The sequence below is a fragment of the Homo sapiens genome, chromosome 3, assembly GCF_000001405.40.
Source record: "Homo sapiens chromosome 3, GRCh38.p14 Primary Assembly".
Classification (NCBI taxonomy): Eukaryota; Metazoa; Chordata; class Mammalia; order Primates; family Hominidae; genus Homo; species Homo sapiens.
In genome coordinates this window covers 141,675,535-141,696,693 of record NC_000003.12, presented here as the reverse complement: position 1 = coordinate 141,696,693, position 21,159 = coordinate 141,675,535, and the positions used below count along the sequence as shown (strand labels likewise).

General features: G+C 43.7%; 1 pseudogene across 1 annotated transcript in view, besides 1 other annotated feature; it reads right to left on the bottom strand.

Moving 5' to 3' along the window:
- Positions 1-21,159, bottom strand: part of LRRC78P (leucine rich repeat containing 78, pseudogene) — a 57,876-nt pseudogene that overhangs the window by 24,381 nt on the left and 12,336 nt on the right. Inside the window, exons 3-6 of the transcript NR_136190.1 lie at positions 15,061-15,209; positions 11,495-11,635; positions 10,677-10,822; positions 6,167-6,262 (exon numbers count right to left, since the gene is read on the bottom strand). The product of NR_136190.1 is annotated as a leucine rich repeat containing 78, pseudogene (transcript). The remainder of the gene's footprint in view (positions 1-6,166; positions 6,263-10,676; positions 10,823-11,494; positions 11,636-15,060; positions 15,210-21,159) is intronic.
- Positions 9,839-10,048: an enhancer, noted in NCBI's record as "active region_20633". NCBI's record gives its function as "activates an Ori minimal core promoter by ATAC-STARR-seq in GM12878 lymphoblastoid cells {active_cell/tissue: GM12878}" and the evidence as "EXISTENCE:reporter gene assay evidence [ECO:0000049][PMID:35858748]".

The following is a 21,159-nucleotide window of genomic DNA, read 5'->3' as shown; positions in this document are numbered from 1 at the left end:
TATAAACCATCCGGACCACACAGCGGGAGGTCATGGAAAGCATAAACAAACTTTACCTACACCCTCCAGTACCATAAACATCACAAGGTGATATGTGGCAGAGTTAACCAACAAACAACCCCAGGGTTTCTCTCCCCCATATAAACCCATCATTTTGTAAGCTCAGGGCTGCCTCCTCCGTCTGTAATGGAGTATTAGTAGCTGAAAGGACTGTTGTAACTTGGGCCTTGTCAGGCCTCTGAGCCCAAGCTACCCAAATCCTATAAAACTGTCCCACCTCTAACTCCCTTTACTGACTCTCTTTTCAGACTCAACCCACCAGCACCCAGATGATTAAAAAGCTTTATTCCTCACACAAAGCCTGTTGGTGGTCTCTTCACACAAACGCACATGACATTTGGTGACTCAGATCAGGGGACCACCCTTGGGAGATCAATCCCCTGTCCTCCTGCTCTTTGCTCCATGAGAAAGATCCACCTACGACCTCGGGTCCTCAGACCAACCAGCCCAAGGAACATCTCACCAATTTTAAATCGGGTAAGCAGCCTCTTTTTATTCTCTTCTCCAACCTGTCTCACTATCCCTCAACCTCTTTCTCCTTTCAATTTTGGCACCACCCTTCCATCTCTCCCTTCCCTTAATTTCAGTTCCTTTCCATTTCTGGTAGAGACAGAGGAGACACATTTTAGCTGTGAACTCTGGCGTCAGTCACCGACTCTGGAAGACAGTCTTCCCTTGGTGTTTAATCACTGCAGGGATGCCTGCTTGATTATTCACCCACATTTCAGAGGTGTCTGATCACTGTGGGGATGCCTGCCTTTATCCTTCACCTTGGTGGAAAGCACCACCTCCCCTGGGGGCAAGTACCCCCACCCTCCGTGTCTCTACCCTCTCTTTTCTCTGGGCTTGCCTCCTTCACTATGGGCAACCTTCCATCCTCCATTCCTCCTTCTTCTCCCTTAGCCTGTGTTCTCAAGAACTTAAAACCTCTTCAACTCACACCTGACCTAAAACCTAAATGCCTTATTTTCTTCTACAATACCACTTGACCCCAATACAAACTTGACAATGACTCCAAATAGCTAGAAAATGGCACTTTCAATTTCTCCATCCTACAAGATCTAGATAATTCTTGTCGTAAAATGGGCAAATGGTCTGAAGTGCCTGATGTCCAGGCATTCTTTTATACGTCGGCTCCTCCCTAGTCTCTGTTGCCAATGCGACTCATCCCAAATCTTCCTTCTTTCCCTCCCTCCTGTCCCTTCAGTCCCAACCCCAAGCATTGCTGAGTCTTTTCAATTTTCCTTTTCTACGGACCCATCTGACCTCTTCCCTCCTCCCCAGACTGCTCCTTGCCAGGCCGAGCCAGGTCCCAATTCTTCCTCAGCCTCCACTCCCTGACCCTATAATCCTTTTATCACCTCCCCTCCTCACACCCTGTCTGGCTTACAGTTTCATTCCATGACTAGCCCTCCCCGACCTGCCCAACAATTTCCTCTTAAAGAGGTAGCTGGAGCTGAAGGCATAGTCAAGGTTAGTGCTCCTTCTTCTTTATCCGACCTCTCCCAAATCAGTTAACATTTAGGCTCTTTTTCATCAAATATAAAAACCCAGCCCAGTTCATGGCCCATTTGGCAACAGCCCTCGGACCCTTTACCGCCCTAGACCCAGAAGGGCCAAAAGGCTGTCTTATTCTCAATATACATTGTATTACCCAATCTGCTTTTGACATTAGAAAAAGCTCTAAAAATTAGATTCCAGCCCTCAAACCCCATAACAGGACTTAATTAACCTCGCTTTCAAGGTGGACAATAATAGAGAAGAGTTGCAATTACTTGCCTCCGCTGTGAGAGAAACCCCAGCCACATCTCCAGCACAGAAGAACTTCAAAATGCCTGAACTGCAGCGGCCAGGCATTCCTCCAGGACCTCCTCCCCCAGGATCTTGCTTCAAGTGCTGGAAATCTGGCCACTGGGCCAAGGAATGCCCACAGCCTGGGATTCCTCCTAAGCCATGTCCCATCTGTGTGGGACCCCACTGGAAATCAGACTGTCCAACTCACCTGGCAGCCACTCCCAGAGCCCCTGGAACTCTGGCCCAAAGCTCTCTGACTAACTCCTTCCCAGATCTTCTAGGCTTAGTGGCTGAAGACTGATGCTGCCTGATTACCTAAAAATCCTCCTGGACCATCATGGATAGCTCTTACAGTGGAGGGTAAGTCCGTCCCCTTCTTAATTAATACAGAGGCTACCCACTCCACATTACCTTCTTTTCAAGGGCCTGTTTCTCTTGCCTCCATAACTGTTGTGGGTACTGACGGCCGGGCTTCTAAGCCTCTTAAAACTCCCCAACTCTGATGCCAACTTGGACAGCATTCTTTTATGCACTTCTTTTTAATTATCCCCACCTGCCCAGCTCCCTTATCAGGTTGAGACATTTTACCTAAATTATCTGCTTCCCTCACTATTCCTGGGCTACAGCCACACCTCATTGCTCCCCTTTTCCCCAGTTCAAAGCCTCCTTCGCAGCCTCCCCTTGTGTCTCCCTAGCTTAATCCACAAATATAAGATACCTCTACACCTACCTTGATGACCAATCATGCACCCCTTATCATCCCATTAAAACCTAATCACCCTTACCCCACTCAACGCCAATATCCCATCCCACAGCAGGCTTTAAAAAGGTTAAAGCCTGTTATCACTTGCCTGCTACAGCATGGGTTTCTAAAGCCTATAAACTCTCCTTACAATTCCCCCATTTTACCTGTCCAAAAACTGGACAAGTCTTACAGGTTAGTTCAGGATCTGCACCTTATCAACCAAATTGTCTTGCCTATCCACTCCATGGTGCCAAACCCATATACTCTCCTATCCTCAATACCTCCCCTCCATAACCCATTATTTTGTTTTGAATCTCAAACATGCTTTCTTTACTGTTCCTTTGCACCCTTCATCCCAGCCTCTCTTCACTTTCACTTGGACTGACCCTGACACCCATCAGCCTCAGCAACTTACCTGGGCTGTACTGCTGCAAGGTTTCAGGGACAGCCCCCATTACTTCAGTCAAGCCCAAATTTCTTCCTCATCCATTACCTATCTTGGCATAATTCTTCATAAAAACACAGGTTCTCTCCCTGCTGATCATGTCTGGCTAATCTTCCAAACCCCAACTCCTTCTACAAAACAACTCCTTTCCTTCCTACACATGGTTAGGTACTTTCACCTTTGGATACCTGGTTTTGCCTTCCTAACTAAATGATTCATTCTCCCCATTTCCCCATATTTCCCTCTTTTCTGTTCCCCACCCAGACCACACTTGGTTTATTGATGATAGTTCTTCCAGGCCCATTCGCCACTCACCAGCAAAGGCAGGCTATGCTATAGTATCTTCCACATCTATCCTTGAGGCTACTGCTCTGCCCCGCTCCACTACCTCTCAGCAAGCCGAACTCATTGCCTTAACTCAGGCCCTCACTCTTGCAAAGGGACTATGTGTCAATATTTACACTGACTCTAAATATGCCTTCCATATCCTGCACCACCATGCTGTTATATGGGCAGAAAGAAATTTCCTCACTACACAAGGGTCCTTCATCATTAATGCCTCCTTAATAAAAACTCTTCTTAAAGCTGCTCTACTTGCAAGGAAGCTAGGGTCATTCATGCAAGGGCCATCAAAAGGCATCAGATCCCATTGCTCAAGGCAACGCTTATGCTAATAAGGTAACTAAAGAAGCAGCTAGCCTTCCAACTTCTGTCCCTCAAGATCAATTTTTCTCCTCATCTTTTCACTTTACATTTCCAGTTTTGCCTTACAAAAGGTCTCTTCTTCCTCTGTGGATCCTCCACCTACATGTGTTTACCTGCTAATTGGACAGGCACATGCACACTACTTTTCCTTACTCACAAAATTCAATTTGCAAATAGGACCAAACAGCTTCCTGTTCCCCTCATGACACCAGCACTTCAATACTATTTTGTTTTGTTTTTTTTATTATGAATATAAGAAGACAGGAATAGGCCTCGACTTACTCACTGCTGAAAAAGGAGGACGCTGCATATTTGTAAATGAAGAGTGTTGTTTTTACCTAAATCAATCTGGCCTGATATATGACAACATAAAAAACTGAAGGATAAAGCCCAAAAACTCGCCAACCAAGCAAGTAATTATGCTGAACCCCCTTGGGCACTCTCTAATTGAATGTCCTGGGTCCTCCCAATTCTTAATCCTTTAATACCTGTTTTTCTCCCTCTCTTATTTGGACCTTGTGTCTTCCGTTTAGTTTCTCAATTCATACAAAACTGTATCCAGGCCATCACCAATCATTCTATATGACAAATGCTCCTTCTAAGAAGTGAAAATGGCCGGTTCCTGCTGTAACTGATGACATTACCTTGTGAAATTCCTACTCCTGGCTCAGAAGCTCCCCAACTGAGCACCTTGTGACCCTCGCCCTTGCCCACAAGAGAACAACCCCCTTTGACTGTAATTTTCCACTACCTACCCAAGTGTTGGCAAAATAAACTTTCTAAATTAACTGAGACCTGTCTCAGATTTCCTGGGTTCACAGTACTTTTAGGAAAGAGATCCCAGGGAGCTCTCTAGCCTTCTTCCCACCATGAGAGAACACTGGAAAAAAATGGCCATCTATGAAGCAGCCCTCTCCAGACATTGAATCCTCTAGTGCCTTCATCTTGGACTTCTCAGCCTGCAGAACTGTGGGGAATAAATGTTTGCTATTTGAGCCACTCACTTTATTGTATTCTATTCTAGCAGCCCAAACTGACTAAGACACTGTCAAAAACAAATGATAACCTCACTTGATTCTTTTTTTTCCTTCCTTTAATAGACTTTCCAAAACTAGCTCTGCCCAGTGGAAAAGCTATATTAATAGCCTTTATTAGCCAATATCAGATAACAGAGACAGTCTGATGAATTTTCTTTTTTTTTTTTTTTGAGATAGAGTTTTGCTCTTGTCATCCAGGCTGGAGTGCAATGGTGCAATCTTGGCTCACTGCAACCTCTCCCTCCTGGGTTCAAGCGATTCTCCTACCTCAGCCTCCTGAGTCACTGGGATTACAGGCACCTGCCACTATGCCCAGCTAATTTTTTTTGTATTTTTTTTAGTAGAGAAGGGGTTTCACCATGTTGGCCAAGCTGGTCTCGAACTCCTGACCTCAGGTTATCTGCCTGCTTCGGCCTCCCAAAGTGCTGGGATTATAGGCTTGAGCCACCACACCTGGCCAGTCTGATGAATTTTCTTACTTTACATTTTCATTTGACATTTTGGATCATAAGAATTTGTAATTTTCTAATTCAATGATATTTCATGGAGGAGTTATAAGGATAATTTCCAGGACAGAAAACGACTGCAGAAAAACAGATGAATATTGAAGAAGAGAAAGCCAAAAGGTGACAAGCTTCATTATAAGGGCCAGTTGCCCTCCCCCAGACTCATGGTAGAGAAAAACATGAAACGGACTAAAACAGAACAACACAAATTTAGATTAGCCTCCACAAGGAGCTTCCCAAAGACTGTGTTCATGACCACGCAGTGATAATCTTGCGTTGTCTCTTTAGAATTTCAAAATGGTAAAGCTGGGGTGGAATTTAGGATCCTGTGAGTGAAAAGTTCTCATTTTGCAGAAGAGGATTCTGAGAGCCAGACATTAGTGGAAGTGTCAGGGATAGAATCTGGGTCCCTAATGCTTAGCTGCCCATCTTTAATACTTAGATAGCTTCTCATATAGTCTAACCCAGTTCAGAGGTTACGGAGTTGTTGATTTCTTCAAATTCCTTCTAGATTACACAGTTGCTGATTCTAAGTAAAAATCATAGGATGGAAGTCTGTGAGCTGAATTGATCAGATTCCACAGGCTGTTCATTGCAGAGATATTCCCAAACCAGCTGAGGCCCCATTACTCTTTTTTTTTTTTTGGAGTGTTGAATATGTCAAAGATGAATTCCTCTGATGGCCGTGGCAAAGCCATTTGGTGTTTGGTTTACATGAAGTCACAAGACATTGAGTGTTCTTTTTTCTCCACTTGAGTTTTTCTCTGTTTGGTGCAACTACTTAGTAGTGGAACACACAGCTCATGAAAGAAGGAAGTGATTTAGAAGATGAGGGAAGTGGAAGGAACAGTTGAAACGACAACAGAAAAAATACCTTTTTTTCTCTTTTTCTTCCCTGAAGTAGTTTTCACTGTTACAGCTTCAGACGATTTTGTAATCTGGTTCATAGTTGAACTTCCTCTCTGTTTGGCTGGTTGAAAAAAAAAAGACTTTTTAAAAAGTAGCCTGTTCAAAGTCAAATGAATGGGTTTCTGACACACCTTGATGTTGGTTATGGCCTTTATTTTATGTTCACTTTAGGCAGAGATATTTCTCACAAAAGAGAATGATCTGGCCGCTTGTCAAGATCACATTCACTTCAGTTCAGTCCTGTGGTTTTTTTTTTTTTTTTTTTTTTTGAGATGGAGTCTTGCCCTGTCGCCCAGGCTGGAGTGCAATGGCACCATCTCGGCTCACTGCACCCTCGCCTCCTGGGTTCAAGTGATCCTCCCACCTTAACCTCCAGAGTAGCTGGAATTACAGGTGTGCACCACCCCACTCGGCTAATTTTTTGTATTTTTAGTAGAGACGGGGTTTCATCATGTTGGCCGGGCTGGTCTCAAACTCCTGACCTCAAGTGATCTGCCTGCCTTGGCCTCCTAAAGTGCTGGGATTACTGGTGTGAGCCACTGCACCCAGCTGGGTCCTGTGGTTTTTGTGTTTCTTTCCTTAAAGTCTCAGGGTGAACATGCAACCAAGTAGAGCTCCAAGAACCATCCTGCCAGCCTCGTGTTGCTTCTTCTTTATGTTTCAAAGCTGCCGTCTATAAAAGTGACTCCAAAGCCCTGGAATTAGTAAGAATGTAGCAGGGAGGAACTCTTTTTTGGCATGTTTAAAGCAACATATTAGAACATATCACTCTGGAGTCATTCTGGACTCTTCCTTTCTCTTGTACCCTACATCCAATCCGTTAGGAAGTGGGATAATGCAGAGTCTGACTGCTTCTCGCTGCCTTCCCCGCTATTGCCCTTGTCTCACCTGGGTAGACAGCTCTCTCCTAGAGGTCAACAGCCACCCAACAGGCCTCCCTGCCCACCCGCACCCTTTCCTGCCCACAAGAAGAAAAGGGAATAATGTAAAAATTGACATATTACTTATATTTCAATTCTACTAATTCTGCAAAATCTTGTATTAAAAAGTATTTTAGGCCAGGCACAGTAGCTCAAGCCTGTGATCCCAGCACTTTGGGAGGCCAAAACAGGTGGATCATTTGAGGTCAGGAGTTTGAGATCAGCCTGGCCAACATGGCGAAAGCCCACCTCTACTAAAAAAATATAAAAATTAGCCGGGCATGGTGGCTTATGCCTATAATCCCAGCTACTTGGGAAGCTGAGGCCAGAGAATAGCTTGAACCCAGGAGGTGGAGATTGCAGTGAGCCGAGATCGCCCAACTGCACTCCAGCTTGGGTGACAAAGTGAGACTCCATCTCAAACCAACCAAAACAAAACAAAAAACAGCAAATAAAATTGTATTTCTACACTATAACAAGTAATTATGATTAAGAAAACAAACTTGTCATTGGGTCCTAAGGCATTTGGGCCCCTTTGGTTGTCATCAACTGAAAGCCCCTGTGGCTGACTCTGGCCAGAAGGAAGAGTTACCGAGAGGCCTGGGAGTAGCTCACAGAACAGGAGATCAAACATTTGGTCCTCAAAAAGCAGTGGTCTCAAACATTTTTGTTCCCATAACAACATAGAGGAATATTAAAAAGTTTATGGACCATCTTGCACATTTTTAGGTTAGTATCTAAGATTTTCAACGTCACTTTTTTTTTTTTTTTTTTTGAGACGGAGTTTCGCTCTTGTTGCCCAGGCTGGAGTGCAATGGCACGATCTTGGCTCACCACAACCTCTGCCTCCCAGGTTCAAGTGATTCTCCTGCCTCAGCCTCCCAAGTAGCTGGGATTACAGGCATGAGCCACCACACCCAGCTAATTTTATACTTTTAGTAGAGTTGGGGTTTCTCCACGTTGATCAGGCTGGTCTTGAACTCCCGGCCTCAGGTGATCCGCTTGCCTCAGCCTCCCAAAGTGCAGGGATTACAGGCATGAACCACCGGGCCCAGTTCATCATCACTTTTAAATTTTCAAAAGAGATTTTTAGATTATGGCAAATAGTGACATTTAAAAATAAAATCTGCTATATCATTCCCTTAAGTGTATCAAATGGAATATAAACCAAACCATTTGATACTCGCCATCACTTACCAGAATATCGCAACAACAGAAAACATGAGCAAACTCTTCTTTAGCAATTGACATTTTTACATTATTCCCTTTTCTTCTTGTGTTTTACATATATTTCCATTCTATTTATTCTGTAAAATCTTGTATTAAAAAGTATTTTATAGGCCAGGTGCGGTGGCTCATGCCTGAAATCCCAGCACTTTGGGAGGCCGAGGTAGGTGGATCACGAGGTCAGGAGCTCGAGACCATCCTGGCTGACACGGTGAAACCCCATCTCTACTAAAAATACAAAAAATTAGCCTGGCGTGGTGGGGGGCGCCTGTAGTCCCAGCTACTTGGGAGGCTGAGGCAGGAGAATGGTGTGAACCCAGAAGGTGGAGCTTGCAGTGAGCCGAGATCATGCCACTGCATTCCAGCCTGGGCGACAGAGCAAGACTCCATCTCAAAAAAAAAAAAAAAAAAAAGATTTTATAGCTAATCCTGTTATACTTCTTTGTAATAAAAATGTTACATGTACAAATACTCAAATTTCAAAATTTCTTGGGATCAGGCTGGGCGCGGTGGCTCACACTTGTAATCCCAACTTTGGGAGGCTGAGATGGGTGGATCGCTGCCATCCAGGAGTTTGAGACCAGCTCAGCCAGCGTAGAGAAACCCTGTCTCTGCTAAAAATACAAAAATTAGCTGGGTATGATGGTGGCCTGCACCTATAATCTCAGCTACTCCGGAGGCTGAGGCAGGAGAACTGCTTGAACCTGGGAGGCAGAGGTTGTGGTGAGCCAAGATCACACCACTGCACACCAGCCTGGGTGATGGAGTGAAACCCTGTCTCAAAAAAAAAAAAAAAGTTTCTTCTCCAGTTTTTCATCAATTTTTAGAAGTATGTAATTGATTCTAATTACATAGAAAAATAAATTTTTTGAATGCATTGCTCAGTGAGATGGATAGTGCAGTTTTATTTATTTGTTTTTATAATGAATTCATGTATTCATTGAATATTACTGCTAGCATGAGGCAGAGTTCAGCATCAATTCTATTTCCATTTTTCATTGTTATAGTTGAAATGCTGAGAAACCTTGTTCACACGTGATGGGAATGGAATAGGGTTGCCAGATTTAGCCTCTCTTTCCCATCTACTCCTCACCCTACTGTCTAATATGTGGCTGTCGGCTGAAGTTAAATGTCAGCTATGGAAAGCCATTTACAGGGGAGTAAGCAGCTGTTGTTCTTGTCTGTCCTGCATTTGTCCTCCCATCTGCCTACTCTTTGGGGGACTGCCAATTCCCCACTGCAAATCCAGTGGTGCTGGCAGGGCTGCCCGTCACAGTGCTCTACCCTCCAGGATGGGCGTGGGATGCGTCCTGGCCAATCACATTTCGCTCTGACCTGAGATTGGGCCAAGAGGTCAGTATGTGACCCAAGGAGGGTCAATCAGAATCTCCGTATGGGATTTGACACATAGTCATTGGAAGAAAGAAGCTTTCACTTTCTGTTTGATTACAGTCATGATGATGTAGCCCTGGGACTGTTGGCAGGCACATCAGCTGTCTTTTCCTGCTTGGAGAAAGCCTGGCTGCAGCCGGAGGGAGAAAGGCCAACCCTTGGAAGGGAAGTAGAGTCAAGAGCAGCAAATTCTGGGTCTCCTGGTGGGGTGTTTTGAGCCCCTGAATTCGATCATCTTTGAAGACAGCTGTACCCATGGATGTCCCAGTTATGTCAGCCTATAAACCCATACTGGTCTTTAATCCTGTTTGGTTGCTTTCACTTTTAACCTAAAGAATCTGATTAACACACTATAGTAGTTTTCTATTGCTGCTGTTGCAAATGACCACACACTTAGTGCCTTAAAACAATACAAGTTTCTGATCCTATAGTTCTGGAGTTCTGAACTCTGAAATAGGTCTTAAAGGTGAAAGTCAAGGTGTCAGCAGAGCTGTATTCCTTTAAAGGCCCTGGGGAAAATTAGTTTACTTGCCTTTTCCACCTTGTAGAGGCCACCTACGTACCCCAGCTCCTGGCCCCTTCCTCACATCACTCTAACCTCTGCTTCCATGGTCACATCTTCTCTGACTCTCCTGCCTCCCTCCTATCATGATCCTCGTGATTACACTGGACCCACGAGGATGATCCAAGATGATCTCCCTCTCTCATCCTTAACTCACACAGGCAGAGTCCCTTTTGCCATGTGAAGTGACATATTCACAGGTTCTGAAGATTAGGGCAAAGACATCTTTGGGAGCCATTATTTTGTCTCCCACACATATTCAAGAAGAAGAATCACACTTGACCACTGAGAAGGTCACTTTTAATCACAGAGCAAAGCGTCCTCCTTTTAGGTGGCACCAACAGGATTTTAGTGCCAAGTTCCTCAGCACTTACCTTGGAGCCGCTGAGGGGGATTTCCAGTGTCTGGTGAGCCTGGGGCTGGCTGGTCTTCCCCCTGTGTCTCCGCAAAGCCTGCTATGGGCCTGAGAAGAGCCAGTGCTCCGGAACATTCCAAGTAATTGCCATCAAGGAACAGCTCGCTGGGGAAGGGAGCAGAATACACTGTTTATTTTATGTTAGTTCTACTTCCTCAAATTTGGATTTAAGGGCTGGGCACGGTGGCTCACGCCTGTAATCCCAGCACTTTGGGAGGCCAAGGCAGGCGGATCACAAGGTCAGGAGATAGAGACCATCCTGGCTAACATGGTGAAACCCCATCTCAACTAAAAATACAAAAAAATTAGCCGGGCGTGGTGGCGGGCACCTGTAGTCCCAGCTGCTGGGGAGGCTGAGGCATCAGAATGCCATGAACCCGGGAGGCGGAGCTTGCAGTGAGCTGAGATTGTGCTACTGCACTCCAGCCTGGGTGACAGAGCAAGACTCCGTCTCAAAAAAAAAAAAATTGGATTTAAGGTTTTCATCTGATGAAATAATATACCTAGTCATAAAATAATAAGGAATAACCATAATTAATTAATAATAGGCCATGTCATAAAAAATAGACCTAGTGACCATGTCAGCTGGTCAAACACCTGCATTCAGTGTGACACCACTGATTTTCAAACTCAACTAAAGGACCTTCTCTTATGGTTAAGAAAAGGCAAGCAAAAATAACAAGAGTGGAGAAGAGATTATTAGAATTATAACAGATTGTATAACTCAAGACAGAATAGAGCCAAGATTAGAAGGGGGCAGTGGGGGACACGTCTCACCAAATGGCACTCTGGCTGATGACCGAACCCAGCCTTAGCCCGCTCTGAGGTCCCAGACCACAGTAACGCAGACTGAGGCCTTGAAGCCTTTGGTTGTTCTCCAGGCCTGAGAAAATGCTCTCAAGTTCTTCATTTCCAAATCTAAAAAGAAATGACAGTGTCAACTTAAATAACAGAGAAGCTCTCTAAAAGGAGCCTGTTTATTCAGAACCAGAATTGCAATGGGAATGGGAATACACAGGCCATGGTAAACTATGCACATATTCAGGGAGGAAGAGGAAGACAAAGGTCTTTCAATGAAAAGTGAGGAGGATTACATCATTGTTTTCAGATAATTATCCTTGACTACAAGGATCAATAACAAGGGTGGCACCAGACTAAGGTTGGACAGTTGCTGGGTAGATGTCCTTGTAGAAGTATTTTTTTGTGTAAGGTTATGATGGCCTTGTGCAAGGCTGTGGTTGCTACAGGGTCTTTTGTGATAGTTCTTGTTACCAGGCATTTATGCATGAGAGCCCTTCTTTCATGGCCTTCCCTGGCTCTGTTTGTCAGGTTTTCTTGTTGTTGTTGTTCAACACAAGTGACTCCACTTTAATCTGACAATTTTCACAATAGAAACAAATTAGTGACTTTTTTTCTTTTTCTTTTTCTTTTTTTGAGAGAGTCTTGCTCTGAAATTCACCAACGATTACAGGCACATGCCACCACACCTGGCTAATTTTTGTATATTAAGTGGAGACAGGGTTTCACCGTGTTGGTCAGGCTGGTCTCGAACTCCTGACCTCAGGTGATCTGCCCGCCTTGGCCTTCCAAAGTGTTGGGATTACAGGCATGAGCCACCGTGCCCGGCCAAATTAGTGGCTTTTAAAACCTGTGGGGCCGGGCGCGGTGGCTCATGCCTGTAATCCCAACACTTTGGGAGGCCGAGGTGGGTGGATCACGAGGTCAGGAGATCAAGACCATCCTGGCTAACACGGTGAAACCCCATCTCTACTAAAAATACAAAAAAAATTAGCTGGGCGTGGTGGCGGGTGCCTGTAGTCCCAGCTACTCAGGAGGCTGAGGCAGGAGAATGGTGTGAACCCGGTAGGCGGAGCATGCAGTGAGCCGAGATCGTGCCACTGCACTCCAGCCTGGGCGACAGAGTGAGACTCCATCTCAAAAACAAAAAAAAAAACCAAACAAACCTGTGCCACTCACTGGATTACTAATTGTAAAGCCCTTTCCAGGATAATTAGCGGCATTTCTGCTGATCCCTAATTTGAGCTTCCAGGGCCAGGGCTGGCTATGCGGGTGGGCTGGGTTGGCCATAGTGGGTAGCCTGGGCATGAGGGAAAGGGCCGGAAGTCTGCCTCCTGGGTAAAGGGAGCAGAAGATGGTTGGAACTACCCAATCCGGGCAGCGGATGGAGAACAAACTCTAAACCCCAGAGAGAAGAGCTACAGAGAAGGGCAGAGACAGGTGGAGTCCTAGAGACTCCCAGCAGGGCTGTTCCCTCCTCTTGCATTGCAGGCTTTACTTTGCAAAGTGAAATCTTGTGCCTCAACCACAGCCTCTGCGGGGAGGTAATGGTAAAAGCCATGGGTCAGGAAACCGAGGCTTGGTGAAGGAAAGCAACATCTTTAAGGAATTTGGAATGTCAAAGCTTGAACCTTAAAATGAGGTGGGTGAGATGAACAGAAATAACTTTTAACATGTATCAATTCATGAACAAGTAATGACTGAGGGCCTTCCCTGAGCCACCTACCAAGGTGGGCATGGGGATGCAGCTTGTGTGAGAAAGGACTGTCTGATGGACCTCACAGCCTCAGTGGAGACAGTGAGGAGAGAACTGCAACCCCCAGAGGCCAGTATCCTGCAGTGTTACCAGTGTTAAGGTCTCGGGTGGTGATTCCCAGCTAGGCGAGCCTGACAACACTAGGTGTCCTGGCGTCGGTGGCAGTATGTCATCTGACTATTACAACAAGTTGTCTGCTGAAGAAGAGAATTCCTTCTTTCTTCCTTCTCTCTTCCCACCAGTGCAGGTCTCTGGGTGCCCCTCCCAGGAGCTGGAGCCTGGAGGGGTCTCTTAGCAGTGGGGCTGGTGCTGCCCAATAGTGTGGGAAACTGGGGGACTCGCAAGCAGATCCTACAGTCACTGCATGGCGTCCCGTGTGCATTGGGCTCCTGCTGCCCCCTGTTACAAGACCCTGCCTGACGTTCCTCCCAGCATTTCAGAAACCCTGAGAACCTCCACAGAGAACGCCCTCTCCCCAGCTTTTACCACCAGGGCCCTGGCCGGATCCCAGTTCTGTGTCTCTGGGCTACCACTTCTCAGGCTCGAATCTCCTCTCTCTCCTCACAGCCCACTGGCCTTTTGAGTCTAAGGCCCCACCCAATTGCATGGGAAGAGTCACAGAATCACAGACTCCTGGAGTGGGGGAGATCATTTCATTACAGACCAGAAAGGTTCTGTGACTTACTCCAGATGGTACACACAGTTTGAAGTTGTTTGTGGACGGCAACTTATAGACCCCGGGCAATCTAGTGTCATGGATCGGAGGTGGGCTCTGATTCAGACAACCTGAATCCATATCAAGGTTCCATCCCTGGGGGACTGAATAGCCTTGAACAAGTCTGTGGACCTCATCCACAGTCTAGGGATAGTAATGGTGCATAGCTCATGAGGTTGTTGGGAGGAGAAATGAGCTCATTCCTGCATCGTGTTTGGCACACAATAAACACTCATTAACCATTAGCTGGAAATATTATTATTATTCTCATCTTGTGGACATTCCCTTAACATGCTTGATACCCCAGCTCTGAAGGACTTGCTCCACTCCTCCCCAACACCACACCTTTCCCTCCCTCTTTCCCTCCCTCCCTCCCTTCCTTCCTTCTTCCTTCCTTCCTTCCCTCCTTCCTTCCTCCCCTCCTTCCTTCCTCTTTCTTTCTCTCTTCTGTTTTCTTTTTGAGACAGAGTCTTGCTCTGTCACTCAGGCTGGAATGCAGTGATATGATCTCGGCTCACCGCAGCTTTCATCCCCCACCTCAGCTCAAGTGATCCTCCCATCTCAGCCTCTCAGAATGCTGGGATTACAGGTGAGGGCCACTGTGCCCAGCCCACCACACCTTTCTTTCTACCTCCTCATCTGGTGAATATTGACCCGTCACCTAGGGAATTGTGGTTTCCCTTGTCCAAACTACCAAAATAATATACATGGACATCTTTTGTGGTCTTCAGATTTTCTACCTTGCATTAAGAGCATCTCTTCTCTACTGTACCAAGGACACCTTGGAACAGCAGCATTGCCTTCTATATTTGTATCTTTCTTAGCACTGAGCACAATATCTTGCATAAACTAGCCTTCAACAAATATCTGTTGAAAGAATAAATAAATGAAAGTGACTCTTCTTGAGAACTCTAATATTTACTCAGAAACATTAACTCTAAGGTTTTAGAGGGTCCTCTTCAGCCATGCCTTGATAAGGTGCAAGGAAACTGGACATGCAACCCCCCCAACCCTCCCCATCTTTGCTTCCCCCAGCTGACAGCTGTAAGAGCCCTGCAGGAATTCCAGCCCTACTTGCAGTAATCGAGGACAAGAGAATGCAAACTACTGAACCGCAGAGCCTTCCCAAGTCGCTCTAGAGACCACAGATCCATCTTGCAATCAATGATTTCTAGGGTGGTAAACGGGCAGGTGGTGTGCCCCTTCAATTCCAGAAGCAAAGCCTAAGAATGCAAGATATAAAAAATGCTTACATAATGATGACAACTATGCTCTGTGCTTTAAAATGTTGCTTTCAAGTCCATCATGTTAATTACCTCAACATTTTTGCCCCAAGATAACTTTCTAATTATCTAAGGAAAAGGTGGCATGAAAATAAAATACTTTCCCTTTAAAACAAAGAGTCACTGAATTGGATTGGAGTGTTGGATTGGAGCCAACACATGAGCACTGGAGCCAGCCCAGGTTCCCACAGTTTCCTGTGTGGAGGGCCCAAGGCCAGGTCATTTCCTGTGGTAACAATGGATGCTAATGACAGATAAATCCCCACCTAATGAAAGGAGAGGGTATTTAAAAATGTAAATCACAAGAATGTCGTGAACAGGCCACCTTTTAGCAATTAGAGCCATCACAACCTGAGGATCCTTCATTTCAGAATTTAAGCCTAGAAGAAGCTTTGGTGGAGTTTGGAGAATTCAGAGTTTTTTGAGGCAATGACATGGTCAGATATAGGATTCCAAATTATACCTTGGCAGAGATTAAAAAGGCACTTGTGACCTTAACTACAGAGCTGGTGCCCAAGGCCTCTTTAATGACAGGTGCCTCATTTGAGTGCTGGACTGGATTCTGCAAGCTGTGTTTCTGACAGAGGAGCCAATCAATGTGGCATGTCAGTGCCTATGTTAACATCAGTCTGTGCTAAATGGGCTCTTGACTGGGTCCTAAAGCTCCTAATCAGAGGTTTACATGTCACTCCTTCGGCACCAGTACTGCCATGGGCAAGGACCATGCTATCCAAGATAGAATTCCTCAGCAGCCTCCAGATTAGCAAGAGGGCTACATTTAAGGAACTATTAAGGATCACTTTTAACATGCATGGACAGCATCTTATTTCCAGCTTGAGTGGACTGGGTACCCTGACTGACACTCTGAATAAAAGCAACTAAAATTGCAGGATACATATTTAAAGTAACTTATACATGTATTTCTTTTTTTTTTTTTTTTTTGAGACAGAGTCTCGCTCTGTTGTCAAGCTGGGGTGCAGTGGCACCATCTCAGCTCACTGCAACCTCCAACTCCCTGGTTCAAGTGATTCTCCTGCCTCAGCCTCCTGAGTAGCTGGCATTACAGTTGCGCACCACTACACCCAGCTAATTTTTGTATTTTTAGTAGAGACAGGGTTTCACCATGTTGGCCAGGATGGCCTTGATCTCCTGACCTCGTGATCCACCCGCCTCGGCCTCCCAAAGTGCTGGGATTACAGGCGTGAGCCACTGAGCCTGGCCAAAAAATGTATTTCTTAACTGTGGCAAAATGCACATAACATTTACCACCTTAGCCATTTTTAGTATACAGTTCAGTGGCATGAAGCATTCACATTGTTGTGCAATCCTAACCACCATCCGTCTCCAGAACTCTTTTCATCTTACAAAACTGAAACTCTACTTATTAAACAATAACTCCCTATTCTCCTCTTTCCGCAGACCCTGGTAACCACCATTCTGTTTTCTCTCTGTATAAATCTGACTACTCTAGGTCCATCACGTAAGTGGAATTCTACAGTATTTGTCATTTTGTGACTGGCTTATTCACTTAGCACAATGTCCTCAAGGTTCATCTCATGCTGCAACATGTGTCAGAATTTCCTTCCTTTTTAAGGCTGAATAATATTCCATTGTCTGTATACAACACATTTTGTTTATTCATTCATCTGTTGATGGACACTTGGGTTGCTCCCACCTTTTGGCTCTCATGAATAATGCTGCTGTCAACATGGGTATAGAAGTCTCTCTTTGAGATCCTGTTTTTAATTATTTGGGGTATATATTCACAAGTGGTATTGCTGGATTATATGGTCATTCTATTTTTAACTTTTTGAGGAACCGTCATACTGTTTTCCCTACTGGCTGCACCATTTTACATTGCCACCAACAGTGCCCAAGGTTCCAACTTTTCCACATCCTTGTCAACACTTGTTATTTTCTGGGTGTTTTTTATCTTTTTTATTTTTTTATTTTTGATGGTGAGGTTGGCATGTCATTGTGGTTTTGATTTGCATTTCCTTAGTGATTAGTGATGTTGAACGTCTTTTCGTGCATGTATTGGCTATTTGTATATCTTCTTTGATGAATGTCTATTTAAATTCCTTGCCTATTTTAAATCAGGTTGTGGCCAGGCATGATGGCTCACACCTGTAATCCCAGCACTTTGGGAGGCCAAAGCAGGTGGATCACTTGAGGTCACCATGTCTCTACTAAAAATACAAAAAAAAAAAAAAAAATTAGCCAGGCATGGTGGTGTGCACCTGTAGTCTCAGCTACTCGAGAGATTGAGGCATGAGAATCGCTTGAACCTGAGAGGCGGAGGTTGCAGTCAGCTGAGATGGATCACACCATTGCACTCTAGCCTGGGTGACACAGCGAGACACCATATCAAAAAAAAAAAAAAAAATCAGGTTGCTTGCTGTTTTGTTGTTGAGCTGTAGCAGTTTTTTTTTCTTTTTTCTTTTTTCTTTTTTTTTTTTTCCCATGACAGGACAGGCTGGAGTACAGTGGTGTGATCTCGGCTCACTGCAACCTCCACCTCCCGGACTCAGGCAATCCTCCCGCCTCAATCTCCTGAGCAGCTGGGACTACAGGTACATGCCAGCATGCCTGGCTAATTTTTTGTAGAGATAGGGTTTCACCATGTTGCCAGGCTGGTCTCGAACTCTCATGAGCCACCACACCCGGCAAAGTTGTAATAGTTTTATATATATATATTCTAGATGTTAACCCCTTATCAGATATACAACTTGCAATTATTTTTTCTCATTCCATAAGTTTGCCTCTTCACTTCATTGATTACGTCCTTTGGTGCATGGAAGTTTTACATTTTGATGTAGCCAAATTTATCTACTTTTTCTTTTTTTTTGCCTGTGCCTTTGGTGTCATTTCCAAGAAATAATTGCCAAATCCAAGGTGATGAAGCTTTTCCTCTATGTTTTCTTCTAAGGATTTAAAAATATATATATATCTTTTTAAAATGTGTCGATGGGCTGGCAGTTTAGTGAGGAATACCCAAAGATCAATGAATGAGAGAAAGTGGGAGCCCAGTGGGGTATGCAGAGCACTGACTCCAGCTTTCCTTTGAGAGTATCACTCAAACAGTAGTTGGTTTTCATGGATCGTGGAGTCCAGGGAATAGGAGATAAAGTCATAGACACTGGAGACAAGGAGTCCAGTAGAAAATGCTACATGAAGTTATGGCCCCAAATACAAAGTGGGCCATAGGTTTTTTCTCTTAGAGTAAGGATAACTAGAAATAAATACCTAACTCTCTTTTTTTCCCAAAGGACCCTAGGGAAAATTGCCTATCTCAGACTGATAAATATGAGGAAAAAATGTATCTCCTGAGAACTCACAAACTAGCTCTAATACAGTTTTGCACCCTGTGTTAATTAACCATCTGGATGGTTCAAAGAAATCACAGGTCAATAATTTAATTTAATATAACCCTGGGATGGTAGCACCCAGAGTGAATGGCAGACACAAATTCAAGCCCTGAAGAGGAAGTTCTCTTCAAACCAGAGCTCAGGAAATTGCCACAACCATTATCCCAGGAAATATGAGTTAACAGTAAAAAGGAAATCACAAAACACACAAATTGGTGTCACCATGAGTAAGAGCCAGTAGAAGCAAGAGATCACAATATCAGCCCCAAATAATTCAGATTATTGAAACTATTAGACAGAATACAAAATAACTTTAACACATTCAAAGAAATAAAATAAAGGATTTTTTTTAAAAGTAAGAGACTAGAAAATGACTACTAGTGTCCTTTCCTATTCTCTGCTTCCTCCTTCCTCCCTAAACATAATTTTGTGATAATCAAACATTATAGTTGTACCTGTTTTTTGAACTTTACATAAATGCAAACATACAGTATTCATTTGTTTGTGCCTCTCTTCATTTGCAGGCATTATGTTGGTGACAGTCATCATATTTTATGTTTGTATAGCTACAGTTAGTTCATTTTCATTGCTACATAGTGTCTCACTATATGAATATGCCACAATTTATTTATTTATTCTATTGTTGATGGAAATTTGGGTTGTTTCTAGTTCTTGATTTCCAAGAACATTTTTCTCTAAGTCTCCTGGTGCCCATGTACATACATTCATGTTGGATATATACCTAGAGTGGAACTGCTGGACCACAGACTTTGGAATCAGTAGATACTACAGTACAGTTTTCCAAGGTGACTGTGCGAATACACACTCCCACCACAGTGTATAAAAATTCCAGTTGCTCCAATTCCTCACCAACACTTGATGATGTACTTTTATTTTCACTATTTCAGTGGATGTGTATTGGTATCTCTTAATGTTTTTTATTTGAATTCCACTCATTCCTAATGAGGTTGAGCACCTCTTAATATTCTTATTGGCTATTTTGATAGGTTTCTTTTTTTGTGAAGTTCCTATTCAAGTTTCTTGACCATGTTTCTATTGGATTATTTGTCTTTTTCTTAATGATGTGTCGGAGTTATATATACATCCTGCCTAAGAATCCTTTTTAATTATATATGTAGCAAATATCTTTTCCAGTACTGTAGCTTGCATTTTCACTCTGTTAATGGTGATACTTGATGAACAAAAGTTGTTAGTTTTAATGGAGTCTAACTTAATCAATCTTTTCTTTTACGATTAGTGCTCTTTGTGTACTTTAAAAAAAGTGTTTCTCCACTCCAAAGTCATGATGATATTTTCTTATATTACCTTCTAGAAACTTTATTTGGCCTTTCAACTCTGTAATCCACCAGCATTGATTTAGGGGTATGATGTGAAGTAGGGGTCAAACTTCTTTGTCCCCCACACTTATCTCCAGTGGTCTCATTATCATCGATTGAAAAGATCATCTTTTCCTTGATACTATGTATTGTCATCTTTGTCAATAATTAAACGTCCATATAGGTAAGACTCTGTTTCCAGCCTTTCTATTCTTTCCCTTGGTTTACTTATCTATACTTGTAGCAATATTACACTATCTTAATTTCTGTAGCTCTCTATAAGAAGTGTTTAACGTCTGTTAGAGAAAATTCTCCAACTGTGATCTTCTGTTCAAGATTGTCTTGCTTATTCTTCACCACTTATATCTCCATATAAAATTAACAGTCAGTTCTTTTTTTATATATATATACTTTAAGTTCTAGGGTACATGTGCACAACGTGCAGGTTTGTTACATATGTATACATGTGCTGCACCCATTAACTCATCATTTACATTAGATATATCTCCTAATGCTATCCCTCCCCCCTCCCCCAACCCCACGACAGGCCCCAGTGTGTGATGTTCCCCTTCCTGTGTCCAAGTGTTCTCATTGTTCAATTCCCACCTATGAGTGAGAACATGCAGTGTTTGGTTTTCTGTCCTTGTGATAGTTTGCTCAGAATGATAGTTTCCAGGTTCATCCATGTCCCTTCAAAGGACATGAACTCATCATTTTTATGGCTGCATAGTATTCCATGGTGTATATGTGCCACATTTTTCTTAATCCAGTCTATCATTGATGGATATTTGGGTTGGTTCCAAGTCTTTGCTATTGTGAATAGTGCCACAATAAACATACATGTGCATGTGTCTTTATAGCAGCATGATTTATAATCCTTTGGGTATATACCCAGTAATGGGAAGGCTGGGTCAAATGATATTTCTAGTTCTAGATCCTTGAGGAATCACCACGCTGTCTTCCACAATGGTTGAACTAGTTTACAGTCCCACCAATAGTGTAAAAGTGTTCCTATTTCTCCACATCCTCTCCAGCACCTGTTGTTTCCTGACTTTTTAATGATCGCCATTCTAACTGGTGTGAGATGGTATCTCATTGTGGTTTTGATTTGCATTTCTCTGATGGCCAGTGATGATGAGCATTTTTTCATGTGTCTGTTGGCTGCATAAATGTCTTCTTTTGAGA